This window comes from Homo sapiens, chromosome 5, assembly GCF_000001405.40.
Source record: "Homo sapiens chromosome 5, GRCh38.p14 Primary Assembly".
Taxonomy (NCBI): Eukaryota; Metazoa; Chordata; class Mammalia; order Primates; family Hominidae; genus Homo; species Homo sapiens.
The window spans coordinates 59,091,628-59,105,175 of NC_000005.10; the positions used below are offsets into that span (position 1 = coordinate 59,091,628).

The 13,548-nt window shown below is 38.0% G+C and overlaps 1 protein-coding gene across 26 annotated transcripts in view; it reads right to left on the minus strand.

Annotated features, from left to right (window-relative positions):
• PDE4D (phosphodiesterase 4D) overlaps positions 1-13,548 on the minus strand; it is a 1,553,091-nt gene that overhangs the window by 122,590 nt on the left and 1,416,953 nt on the right. The window lies entirely within an intron of this gene.

Below are 13,548 nucleotides of genomic sequence, written 5' to 3' on the forward strand. Positions count from 1 at the left end.
AAAGAAAAGTAGGAAAAGTAAAAGTAAAGTCAAGATAGTGGTGACCTATCTGGAGAGGATGAAACAGGAAATTATAGGGTCTTTCTGAGGGGTGATCATAGTAGGTATTTACTTTAGAACAATTTGTTAAACTTAAAATTTAAATTTTACATACTTTCTTAAATTTTGTTATATTTCACAATTTAAAAATTTATAAAATGATAATTTTACAAAGCCTAAAAGATGAATTATTTGGGGGCTTTTACTTCTCTTTCATCTGTACAACTGCTGATGAAAATCACCAGGTGTGTATAACATGAAGCATCTCCTTAAATGACATGCATTTATTGGGAAAAAACACAAAGTCCAAATGGTAAAATGTTAGCAAGGTAAAACACTGAAGATTTTTCTCCCCAAAACTGCCAAACAAGTCTGGTTTAACTGAAATTGACAGCAAAGACAACAGAGCACACTTAATTGAATTTTAATCTCAGTGATCTCTAAGCCATGTTTGAAACATAAACAGACATGTCAGAGTTCTTTATGATGTTGGACATGAATTCATTTTCATAATTCAAAGGCATACTTTGCTTATGAATCTCTTTAACAAGCTTTGGCTGAATATTCTTTTCTTCCAGATGTTTGCTGTTGTATACACACAGCTTCCATCTCTTTGCAGATGATTTAAAACATAGTTAGAAAGAGTACATTTATTTAACAAAAGAGTAAGAGTACAGAATTCAAATAGATCGTCTGTGGGTGTATATAATGATGAGTACATAAGTCTCATGCAGTCCTCATAAAGACAGCATCTATTAATCTGAAGAAGTTTCTCTTACTAATTTGCAAACCTAAAAGCATTTTACATTACTAAGATATTAATAAATAGGTCAATTAATACTTTTGATAGAGTAGAGAGACTCCTAAATAATGGACATGAAAAATGATTTTGTAAAAGTACGGTTTCATTTTAAATCCCTGCTTAAGCAATTTGTAGGAGGCAAGATAGTGTGGCAGTTGAGAGGATGGTCTCTGAAATCAGATCTGAATTTGAATACCACCTCTACCATTTACTAACCTAAACAAGTCATATTACTTCTCTGTGTCTCAATAGCTACTTCCTGAGGTGTTCTTACAAAAACACAAATAAATAATCCATGTAAAGAACTTTGCACAGTGCAAATACATAGTGAGCACGCATTGAGTTTTATTTATCATCATCATCATCTTGCTGTACTTTTGTAAACTCACCTTCTCCCGTCTTTTTCTACTCTAAGGTGCTCTTCCAAGCTACTTTCCTCCTCAGCTATCGTTCCCCTGGATTTCCAGTAAGAGAGGGTGAAATCATGCCTGCTTATCTTCTTTCTCTTTTACTGATACTTCACTGAAGTGAAAGTAAAGGAATAAAAACACAACACACCCACCCACAAAGGCACAAATAATAAAGGAAACAAGATCAGCAAAGGAGAGATTTCTACTGATTTTTTGAAATCAGAAAATAGCTGAAGTGCCTTAGCATAATCGAGGAAATGGTTACGGAGAGTAAATTCCAAGAGAAAGTGGACTAATGTGTTCTCCCGAATCCAGAAAGACTTACTGCTTGGAGGCAGCAGAATTAAGGAAGGCAGGAGTTTAGCGAGGGGCTGAAAGTGTATTAAAATTATATGGAGCCTTTGGATCCAAACTAACTACTTCCCTTACCTACTGGAAGCGGAGTCTTTCTTTTTTGGAGGAAATCGGCTAGAGAGATTTGAAACTGATGATACTAGGCACTGTAGCAAACTAGGAGAGGCTGCAGGTTGCGAAATAGGTGCTTATTTGAAAGCCTATAGAGTTTGCAATAAGAAACCCAACTTTTTTATTTGTCATGCTCCCCAGACATTAGCAGTCAGTTATATGCCCCAGGCGCAAATCTCGCAGGCAGAAAGTGGGGTACCCCCTAATCATGACCTTGGGGAAACATTTCAAAGAACACACCGGCTTTGATTGAACAACCTATGATGCAACAGTGCAACCCTACAGTTGACGAGCCCTATCCATGATCACAGAACTTCTGACATTGTTTCTTGCCATCATTGTCATTGTTGCTTTGTTTTGTGTGTGTGTGCATATGCACCTGTATATGTCTTGCTTTTAACTAAGAATGAACAGCCTCTTAAGGAAACTCTCCATAATGAAGAAGAGAAACTAGAAGAAGCAAACATCAACTGAAGAAAGAAATCTACAGGAAAGAGAGAGACAGAGGAAAACCTCAAGAGGATAATAATCTGTGACCTTAGATAAAACACACTTCTGACATAAGAACATATACCATTAAAAAGGAGAGGATGAGGCTGGGCATGTTGGCTCATGCCTGTAATCCCAGCACTTTGGGAGGCTGAGGTGGGCGGATCATGAGGTCAAGAGATCGAGATCACCCTGGCCAACATGGTGAAACCCCATCTCTACTAAAAATACAAAAATTAGCTGGGTGTGGTGGCATGCTCCTGTAGTCCCAGTTACTCGGGAGGCTGAGGCAGGAGAATTGCTTGAACCTGGGAGGCAGAGGTTGCAGTGAGCCAAGATTATGCCACTGCACTCCAGCCTGGTGACAGAGCAAGACTCCGTCTCAAAAAAAAAAAAAAAAAAAAAAAAAAAAAGGAGAGAATGAGAGTGCTAAATTATTTTTAAATCATGACCAAAATAAACATTTTAATAGTAAGGTTGGAAAATAAAAATGTGTGTGAACAAATCTTCTAGAAGACCAAAAAACAAAAAGACAAAAAAGGAAGAAAACAATTAAGAAATTAAAGGATATGATCTAGGAGATCCAACTAAGATAATGAGAATTCAAGGAAGAAAGAACAGAGAAAATAGAGGGCATAAAATTATCAATGAATAAGAGCAAACATTTCAGAACTGAAGGACTCATATCTCTGGAGTGAAAAGGTCTATTGCGTGCCCAGGGCAATGGATAAAAATGCAGACCAAGACAATTGATCATGAAATGTGGGAACTTCAGTAAAGAAAAGAAGGTCACAAAAATTTCTACACAGAAAAAGATCAGGATTTCACCAATAGAAAATACTGGAGTGATGCCTACAAAATGTTCAAAAAAATACATTTTTAACATAGAATCCAATTGCAGTTAATCCATGCCTGAGACAAAAAAAGGTTTAAACAAAGGGCTGCCTCTGAATAGTATATAGAAAAGATTTCTGAACAGAAAATCTTAAAAACTAGCTTTTATCCCCAACTTGGATACTAAATATAGAGACAGGCAAGAATTAGGGGTCTTCTTGTCATTCTTCTGAGACTCTGGAGCTCCTGAGACTTCTTTTTCACTAACACCATTGAATCCGGGAATCAACAAGCTGCACAAAGTTATAAAGATTGCCAGACTTCATGTTTCTGGAAAAAAAAAAGTACTATTTTTTCATACAGCTGAGACCTCTGAAAAGATGGCTCAATGGGCAAGATGCCATGAGAAATCAAAGCCAAATACTCATTCTGAAGTCAGTTTTGCTCAGACTTTGTATACTGCCACTCAATTTTTCAAGTCATCAGAAACATAACTAAGAATGAGTGACTTTTTGCTATCAACTAATGACCCACCATTCAACGATCTTGTATGACAAAGTAGAGGAGTATCTTCTTATTTTTAGGCTTATTAAATTACAATGGAAAATATTCATTAACAATCTCATAATGAGGCATTCTAGATGCTTATTCTTACCTAAAGGGAATGGAACAAAAAATAACCAAAAACTAAAAAGATGAAGACAAAAGCCTTTCTTGGTATTATAGTATTCTTTTACAAAGGATATGGTTTATCATAGTAATTGATTCCCTCTGTTACACTAGAGATACTATTATATTAAATGCCTAAAGGTTAAACTTAGGTAACAGTGGAGCTATAGTTCTTTCAGAAATAAAATAATTAAATAGCTATGTATGCCAAGAAACCTTACTTTGAACATTTCTATTGTACCATCTCATTATTGCTGGCTGCCTGATTAGCAAGCAGTAAACTTGGGTAATAGCTTTCCTCTGATATCACTTCAAGTCTACTCGAGTTCTAGAATTACCCAGACTACCAGGACTTTACTTGCACAATATGCTGAAATGTTTATAACATTATGCTTTCCCCTCCTAATTCTCAAGACCATTTTGATAACTGGCTAAGACTGGATAATATCAACAAATATGAAATAATTATAAGAATCATTCTTTCTTAAAATAAGAAGAGTTTCCAGAAACAGAAACTAAAACAGAATTCAGGCTAAGCTGCTAAATAGGCTATCTCAGGGATTCTCAGCTCATTCTTGATGAGGATAGATTGCTTTTTATTTCCCTTAAGTGTTCCGTATTTATTTCACAAATATTACTTAACTGTGTACCATGTACAAAGCCGTGTGCTAGTTAAGCTGGTTACTGTGGAAGAAATAAAGGGAGTGGGAGCATCTAGCTTTTTTCTTCAAAGGAGATGGGGGAATCTGTGGGAGTTAGTGGTAGGGGCACCTACAGAGGAAATAGCTGAAAAGGAGGAGCTGGGGAAGATGAGGATGAGGAACTAAGTTGTGAATAAAGGAAGGGCAGAGCAATGGTTTTTTTAATAATATTGGAATGGGATTTGTTTTTAGCACTGCTCCCCTTTCCCTTAACAGTCCCCTTGAGCTACAAATAAATGTAACTGGCAAAGTGGATAATAAGACTTCAGAATCTTCTAGCTAACCATGATCAATGTGTCATGGAGCCCAGTATACAAGGAGAGGTTCTATTTCATCAAGAAATATGACTGCACTTTTAGTGGGCAATTGGTTGTTATGAAGGTCCAGCATTTATTTCTTCTTCCTTTTGAAAAATAACACCCTGATTTCCTTTGGGGAACATCCCCATGGTCAGATGGGACCACTGTGATTGACTGATTGGTTCAGGAGAGGGGCTATACCCTTAATTATGTGGGAGCTACTAGAAAGAGATGCTCTCTTTTTTTGTTGGACATAAAAAACCTGGAAAGGTATGGCACTAGATTGCAGACATTGGTCTGTCTCATGTGGATAGAGCAGAGAATGAAGCCAAAAATGGAGAGTTCTTCTGATATCAGGCATCAGGGAGAAAACAAAACAAAAAACAAACAAAAGAATAAAAATGGAGAGTTCAGATACAGGACCCATAGACAGAGAAACTAAATCCTCATGAAGTGTTCTAATTGAAACAGTATCTATGGTCTACCTAAACCTCATGGGAACCACATTAAATGGCGGATAAAGCCATTAATATACTATACATAGAAGAGATACATCCACAAGGACATCTTACCAAGTGTGGACACAAGTGTGTAACAACCACTTATTGGTGTATAATATTATAATCCACAACATCAGATTTTACTCTTTAAATTCACTAGGGAGTATTCTCAAAGGAATGGAAGAAACAAAGCTGGCTATCAGTGAGGGGCATTATGTGGGTAAATATAAGTAGAAACTTCAAAATAAATTTCTTAAAAGCAATTTTCACTTTCTGAAAGTTTATATGGAATTGGCAAATGACAAGGATTGTGATCATTGATACATGCAAGTCAACAAGCAAAACTAACCAAAGAGACAAACAGACACATGAATAATGAGGCAGTTCTGATGACCAAAAAACACAACTTTACAAGACTGTTTGGGTAATTTATTTTGACTGGTAATACATCATGTCAGTTTATTTTATTTAAGCCACAGCAACGTTTGTCTTCCTGACGATAGTTATTGCATTCCAGAGAAGTACAATACGAAGTTTCAGACTAGTGCTGGGCTTAGTCACACAGAGAACTGCAGTAGGTTTTCTAAGCCCCTGCTCACTGTATTTCACAAAAATCTCATCCCTTCTACCCTCCACTCTCTAAACACACATCCAAGCAAATCACACCAAGGCATAATCATTGAAGAACACCATAACTTGCCAATTAAAATTTGGCAAACAGAAACATTGAAGCAAAACTGAAAAAAGAATCATGTAATTAACTTAGAAGAAAGCTTTTTTCTTAAATATTATTTTTCTTCCCATTCAGCATGCACAAGAAGCAAACTTTGAGCACTAACGTGTTCCTTTTTAGCCTTTGCCTGTTTGTTTCAAAGACAAGAGGAGAAGAGTCTGCTTAAAAGCCAAATACACTGATAAATGTTTACTGATAAAATCTTCCAGATGGGACTACTTTCAAGGAAGGTCAATTACAAGCCTTGTGTCTCTCCTTTTAATGATATCCTTTAATGATCCCCTTCCTCTCCTAGAAAATTAAGTCACAAAAACATCTTAGGCTGAGAGTGACCCAGTAATCCTCATAATCACATTGCAATGACAGACAAGAAGATCAAAGTACAGGTGCAGTGAGAAATAGGGTTTTACATCCTATTATAAAATGTGAACTTGCCATTAACCAAAGATCAAATGTACCTTTAACTCCCAAATTCCCAACTTCCAATATTTTTTAAATTCTGTGGTTTTCTGGATTAATAAACTTTCTCTAATATAATATTCCCCCTCCCAATTTTTGTACTAAACATTGGTGGTTTTTTCTTCACATATGGTGATTATGTTTTCATATATCCAATAACTAAATAATTTTAGAAATTTGGTAAATTGTGTTGAAACTCTAATAGCACTAAGAAGTTCCCAAGCTAGTTGGTAAGCTATTGTCTCCAATACTGCAAAGAGAAAACCTAGCAATGGAAATTACATAAAGATAATCTGATGCTAATATGTTAGTTAGAAAGTGAATTAGGCATCTAGTAATGGCTTCAATAAGAAAGAGGTTTATTTTTATCTCATATTAAGAAAATGTAGCCTGGGCATGTTGGCTCATGCCTTTAATCCCAGCACTTTGGGAAGCCAAGGCAAGAGGATCACTTGAGTACATGAGTTTGAGACCAGCCTGGGTAACATAGTGAGACCTCATCTCTACAAAAAATTAAAAAAAAAAAAATTGCTGGGTATGGTGGCATGCACCTGTGGTTCCAGCTACTCGTGAGGCTGAAGTGGGAGAATTGCTTGAGTGCAGGAGGCTAAGGCTGCAGTAAGCCCTGATCACACCACTACACTCCAGCCTGGGTGACAGAGAAAGACTCAAAAAAAAAAAAAAAAAAAAGAGGAAAGGAAAAAGAAAAGTAAAGAAAATAATCTAGAAACAGGTCAAGGTTGGAATGGTGACACCATGTTTATCAGGGACCTAGGTTCCTATTATCTTTCTGATCCACCATCCGTAACACATGGCTTCCATTCTCAATTCTGCCATTTAGGTTACAAGATGGCTACTGATGCTCCAGCCAGCACCAGCACCAAATCACTACTACACAAACGGGAGGAGGAGTAAAAGTGAGTGCTTCTAGGCAGGAGCTCCCTCTGCTAACATGTAGTTGGCTGCATCAATCTCTTAGAAAGCCTGAGAAATGCAATCTTTTGACTAGGCAGATGTCACCCAATATAATTAAGATTCAGTCAGTCATCTTTATTATATTGGTTACTAAATGAACAAATCTGTAAGGATATTCAGTCAGCACCAGCAGTCTTTGTCACACCATAGAATTTCTCAATCCTGGATGGAATTTGGTCTAATCCCTTACTTACAGAAAGGGAAATGGAGAGCAGAAAGATTAAGAAATTTCCCCCAAAGGACACAACTGGTTAGCCAAAGAACTAGGTGCAGAATTCAGATCCTTGATCTATCAGTAAAGATCCGGTTCTTTACTGGAGCAAACTTCAGTGAGGTCAGCCCAGGAAATTCAGCTAACCAACATGAACAAATAACACATCTTACTACCTGGGTCAGACCCTGTGACTCACACTTCAGGCTTTACAGTCATAACTGCTCATATGCTGTAACATCCACCCTCTTTGGTTATAAAGTGAGAATCACCATATTCACCACAAGTCATGTACATGTTTACATGGCCACTAAATAACCAACAAAATGAGAGATGCGCCGCAAAATGTGACAGTACGAGTTACTGTTTGTAAAAGAGCAGAATGTTCCACACTCATGGGTAAAAATTGGTACTTGAACTTCATGAGTGACTCTAGATCTTTTATGGTGGTGGCTTTTTAAATACAGACAAACACATGATTATGGTATCTCCTGAAACTGACATTCTCAAAATAACATCCACTATTATACAAAGGAAGTTTGAATGTTTTGAGGCTTTTTTGCTTTTAAGCCATTGCTCTTACCTCTTATCTCTTCTTCGATTATGGCCATCACTTACTTCCTCAGACTCCACCCAGCTGCATTCTCAACAAACCACAGTCCAGGATGAGAACTTCTATAATGCATATGCTTCCTTCAGCACTTTGAGATACATTATTAGGCCCTGCTCTCATGTTTTACTTCTTTTATGTTCCAAGCTTCTTGAGGGCAGGGCCAATACTTTCTTTATTTTCCATAACACCCCTCATATGAAAAAGATTCTAGCATTCTTTCACAATGTCATGCTTAGAACATTCCAATATTTTTCCAACCTATCTCCCAAACTGCTTCCCATGGTTCCACTGATTCTCTTCTTTCACCCCTACTCACAACACAGGGTACCCGAGTGATTGCTCCAAAATACAGAACACAGCAAGCCACATTTCTACATCTTTGGCGGTGCGCCACTGTCTATAAACTTTTTAATAAGGTCGCCCTAACTTGCTTTCTCACATAGTCTTATTCCTTGCCATTTCCTCTGTTTGCGCCCTACATACTGTAAGTTACTCCGAAACATTCATCTTTTTCTACATGCCTGTGACTTTGTACATGTAGTTCCCTTTGTCTGAAATGCCCTTTCTTCTTTCGTTTATGGAGATTCCAAATGGTCTCCAAGGTATATGTCAATTATTATCCATGAAAGGTTTTGCTATATATATCCAGTATTTTCTGGGGGATGGGGAAGCTTAAACAAAAAAAACTTGAACATTACTCTACACACAGTCCATTATGACATCTTAGTCTATTTGGAAAACTCCACTCGTGTAGAAATTGTGTTTATTTCAGTTGACTGTGAATACAGGTTCTGATGCACAGGAGCTACTCAATAGTTTGCTGAATGAATGAATGTCAGTTTTCCTAAACAGACTTGAATGATTTTCTTGAGAGTCTAACTGCTTGTCATACTACATCTTGTCTCATTTGATTCTAGATCCACAGAAGCTAGCACAGTACTTAGATGTAAAAATTGTTATATCTCTTTTGTTTTTCCAGTTAATCACTGGAGACCAGGGCTGCCCTTTCAATAGGAAATCTAATATCTCTCTTTTTGAAAACTACCCCTCTTTCAAATAACCCAAGAACCTCAGGGATTATTCAGTCTAAAGCAGAGTCGTGCTTCTAAACTTCAGGTGTAGAGAGGACGGCAATTGGTATGAAGGCTTCTGCCACTGCCATGTGGTATCACAGTGAACAATGGTCCTGTCCAGACCTGTGTCCTTGCTGGTTTGGGTCTCCATGCCCAGCCTTGGACTCCAAGAGTTTGGCTCTTTGATTTAACTCATTTAGTAAAGATCAGCCCTCACTCAACAATCTAAGATGCTCTTCTTGAGCAGGCAGCTTAGGTTTCCCCTTCCTCTACACAGATACATTAATCCCTCTAGGGCCCGCCGTATCAGCATTCTCTCCCGACAATACACCATGGGACTGCCCTTTTTCATCCATTCTCATGGGTTTCCTCAGTACTTCTAATTGTGGGACAAAGTGAGAAAGTCTCTTTTCTCCTGGTAGACTCCTGAATTCTTAGGTAGTTTGGTCCACGCTATCCTCAAACTGTACCAAGAGGAGGGGTAGCTTTTAATAAGAAGGGGGAAATTTTGTCACACTCTTTCTCCAAAGAAAAAGATGACAGGCCTTATGTTTATATAGCTAAGGGAATCCACTTAATGATTTTTCCAAAAATAATAAATACAAAAACCCCTAGCAGGTTTTCCAATAGTAGAGTTAGAAGTGGACAGTCAGATAGAATTTCTGCCTCTCCAGTCACCCTCTTACATAGGCATGGTAATATTTATTGAAATTCACTATAAAGGCAAAACTGGATGAGGACAATTGAGAAACTCTTGTCCTAAATATCTTTTCCTGACTGGCCAAGGAAACAGTGAGTCTAATAATCAACTTTTTTTTTTTTTTAAGTGCATAGCCCTACCAGTCCAATAAGACAAAAAAGATTCATTCCAAAGGAAAGATCTGGCATTTCAGGGTCACATTTAAGTAGGAGAGGATGCATACAATAATAAGATATTTCAATTAGACGACAAAGTCAGCCATAGGACACAGTACCAGTAGTGTCTTTTCCACTAAGAATTGGGGAAGGGAGGCTTAAAATTCACCTTATGTTTGTTTAACAAACATACCAGGGAATCCTTCCTTCAACTGTGCCCATCGAGTTGAGCTACACACATACAACATAATCCAGGGGAGACTGCCCCAAACTGAGGCTTTATTTACTAATTTGCAGTACCTCTGAAACTGTTAATTTTTTCCCTACTTTTTTTTTTTTTTTTTTTTTTGAGACAGACTTTTGCTCTTGTTGCCCAGGCTGGAGTGCAATGGTATGATCTCGGCTTACCACAACCTCCGCCTCTTGGGTTCAAGCGATTCTCCTGCCTCAGCCTCCCAAGTAGCTGGGATTACAGGCATGTGCCACTACTCCTGGCTAATTTTTTATTTTTAGTAGAGATGGGGTTTCTCCATGTTGGTCAGGCTGGTCTCAAACTCCCGACCTCAGGTGATCTGCACGCCTCGGCCTCCCAAAGTGCTGGGGTTACAGGCATGAGCCATCGCGCCTGGCCCCTACATTTTTAATGCCTCTAAAATCCAGACATGTTTTTATAATCAATGGCACCTTGGACTTGATGAAATAAAGTAATCAAATAGTTTTAATAAATCAAATACCTTTAAAAATATAAACAATTTAAAAATTGTTCTAAGACCCAGGTTCCAACCTCAGGATCTGGATATGACCATAATGCTATATTAGCATATTAAAGCAGAGACACAGACAATAGCGGTAACCCTTCAAAGGGGAAAAAGCCTGTCAGCTGAAGATGATAGAGGAACCCAGTGCTTCTCAAAGGGGGTTCCCCATCCAGCAGTTCATCAGCATCAGCATCACTTGGGAACTTATAAGAAGGAAAATTCTCAGGACCCACCCCAGAAGTACTGAATCAGAATTTGTGGGGCATAGGGCTCTGTAATCTGTGTTTTAACAAGGGCATGGGTTTGAGAACCACTCATATGGTAGCTAAATAAAGAAGACACTTGGTCAGTATATACTTGGCATGCCTGGGGAGGGGGAGCATAACACTTAACAGCCGAATGTTAAGACTACCATAAAAGGAGGAAGAATCTCAAAACCCAATGCAGGAAAGCCCTTTAAAGTCTACAGTTCCTAGTTTCTGACTCCATATATGTCAAAGCAGCTTCTAATTAGAAGTTTGTTTCTCAAGGGGCTGAACTACAAGGACAGAATGAACTGATCTGGCCAATATGGTATCCTGTCTACTTGTCAATATATTTCTCACTGTGAATTCCCTAATTCATGTTCTTGCTCTTGCATAAAGTTCATGAGTTCTGAGTGTCAGTGACAGCACCTGATCTAATTGGGTTCTGAGAAAATCAATTCTGAACCTGAAAAACTAAAGGTCAGTCTTTGAAATTTGTATATATTACAAAGACCCAGTCCAAAAGGGCCCAGAACATACCTAATACTCATTTAAATGGAGTATTTACCAGGTCAAGAGAAGTGAAGAATTAAGGGCAATTAGGTCAAGATTGCAAACTGGCAATCCTCAGGCCAGATCTGGTCCACAGATGTGACTTGTTTGGCCCACACACGTTGTTCAAAAATGGGAAGTTTCGCATTAAATATTGGATTTCTTCCAGTCTTAAAAAAGCAAAAAAAAAAAAGATTTGACAATAGGGAGCCCACATCCTGGCACTTGAGCACTAGCCTGGAGCTAGGCAGAAGCTGTCTCCTTTAAACAGGTTGTAGCTTCCAGGTCACCCCAGTCCCAGGAATCTTTATTGACTTCTGGCTGGCAAGCTTCTCCCTTTATGTGAATATGATCTGCCTGACCCCTGGTTTGAGACGAGTTTGAAGACCTTTGAGCTACATAATCATTTTTCATGGAACAGATCATTAGACTGATTTGAATAAAATGAATTGCTCAGAAAATTAGCTTTATTTTGTACCTTTAGAGCTATTTGTATGTGTGAGCAGGGATGTAGAGGTTAGTTACTTTTGAAAACAGACAGTGATGAAGGCAAATGTTGCCAGGCAGAGTATAAAGAGAACCAGCCTGGGCTGTCTAGACTTGGATCTGCCACTTACTAAATGTAAAACTATCCCACAGCCGTGGTTTGCATATCCACTAATGGGAATGATAATATCTACTATACACAGGGTTTATAGTGATAATCGAATTAGATAATATATGTTCGAGACTATATAGAACCTCAAAAATGTTAGCTGAATTAAATTTTGATGGTTTTGTTTTCTGAATTTTACTTTAGAAATTGTTCCTAACAGATTACAAACTTTTGAAAAAACAATCAAAATTAAACCTCAATAGTCTTACATTGTGATCAAATAATGGAATTAACATTTATTGACTGTAAACTATGAACCAGATAGTATGCTGGGTGCTTTAAATACATTGTCTCATGGAACCCATAAAGAATTACTGAGTTAGTATTATCTATCTTTTACACATTAAAATCCAAGGCTAGAAAAGTTTAGGTAATTTACCAAAGTCACACAGTAAGCGTTGGATAACCAAGGTCCATCTTACTCCAAAGCCCTTACATGTGTGATTACTGTAGTGTTTCTCAAACTAACATGATTATACGAATCGCAGGCTAGTAGTTAAAAGCGTAAGCTCTCCTATTTATTTCCAAGCTTACTGAACCAGAATCTAAAGGGATACATAGCCTTGAAATGTGCCACATTTTACCACAGCCCCATGTAATTCACAACAGCGGCAAGGAAACTGCTTAAGAAAGCTGATAAGAATCAAAGTAAGTAGAAAAAGAATTACTTTGCGTTTTATTCAATAGAAGAAAGGAAAGAAAGGGGGAACTAGGAAGAAAAGGAGGGAAGGGGAGGGAGGAAAGAAGGAACAAAGGAAAGAGGGAAGGAGAGAGGAAAAGAAAGAAAGGAGGGAGGGAAGGAGACAGGCAGAAAATGTCCTGGAGCTAAGGCCTATGGCATTTGAAGGATGATGTGAATGCACTTACTAGATGGATGCTTTCTTTCTAACTGCACCCAGCCTGTTTACTGCAAACATAAGGAATCAGCCAACAGGAAGCTCAGCTTGCCACTGCAGAGGAGTAAAGCACTTTGAACTACAGGCATTTTGTACACCCAAATTACATACTGTGATACACATAGTATTTGAGCTGTTCCGCAAGACAGAAGCCAATTATTCTTGGCACGTACTTCTGTCGTGCTATCCAAATCACCATCCCTCACATGTGGAACTGTGCCACATCAAACGCACCAAGTCACAAATTCCTTAAACTCTTTGAGATGAAAGTCAAATTTTGGAGAAAAAGGATAGTCTGGTATATACACCATATAG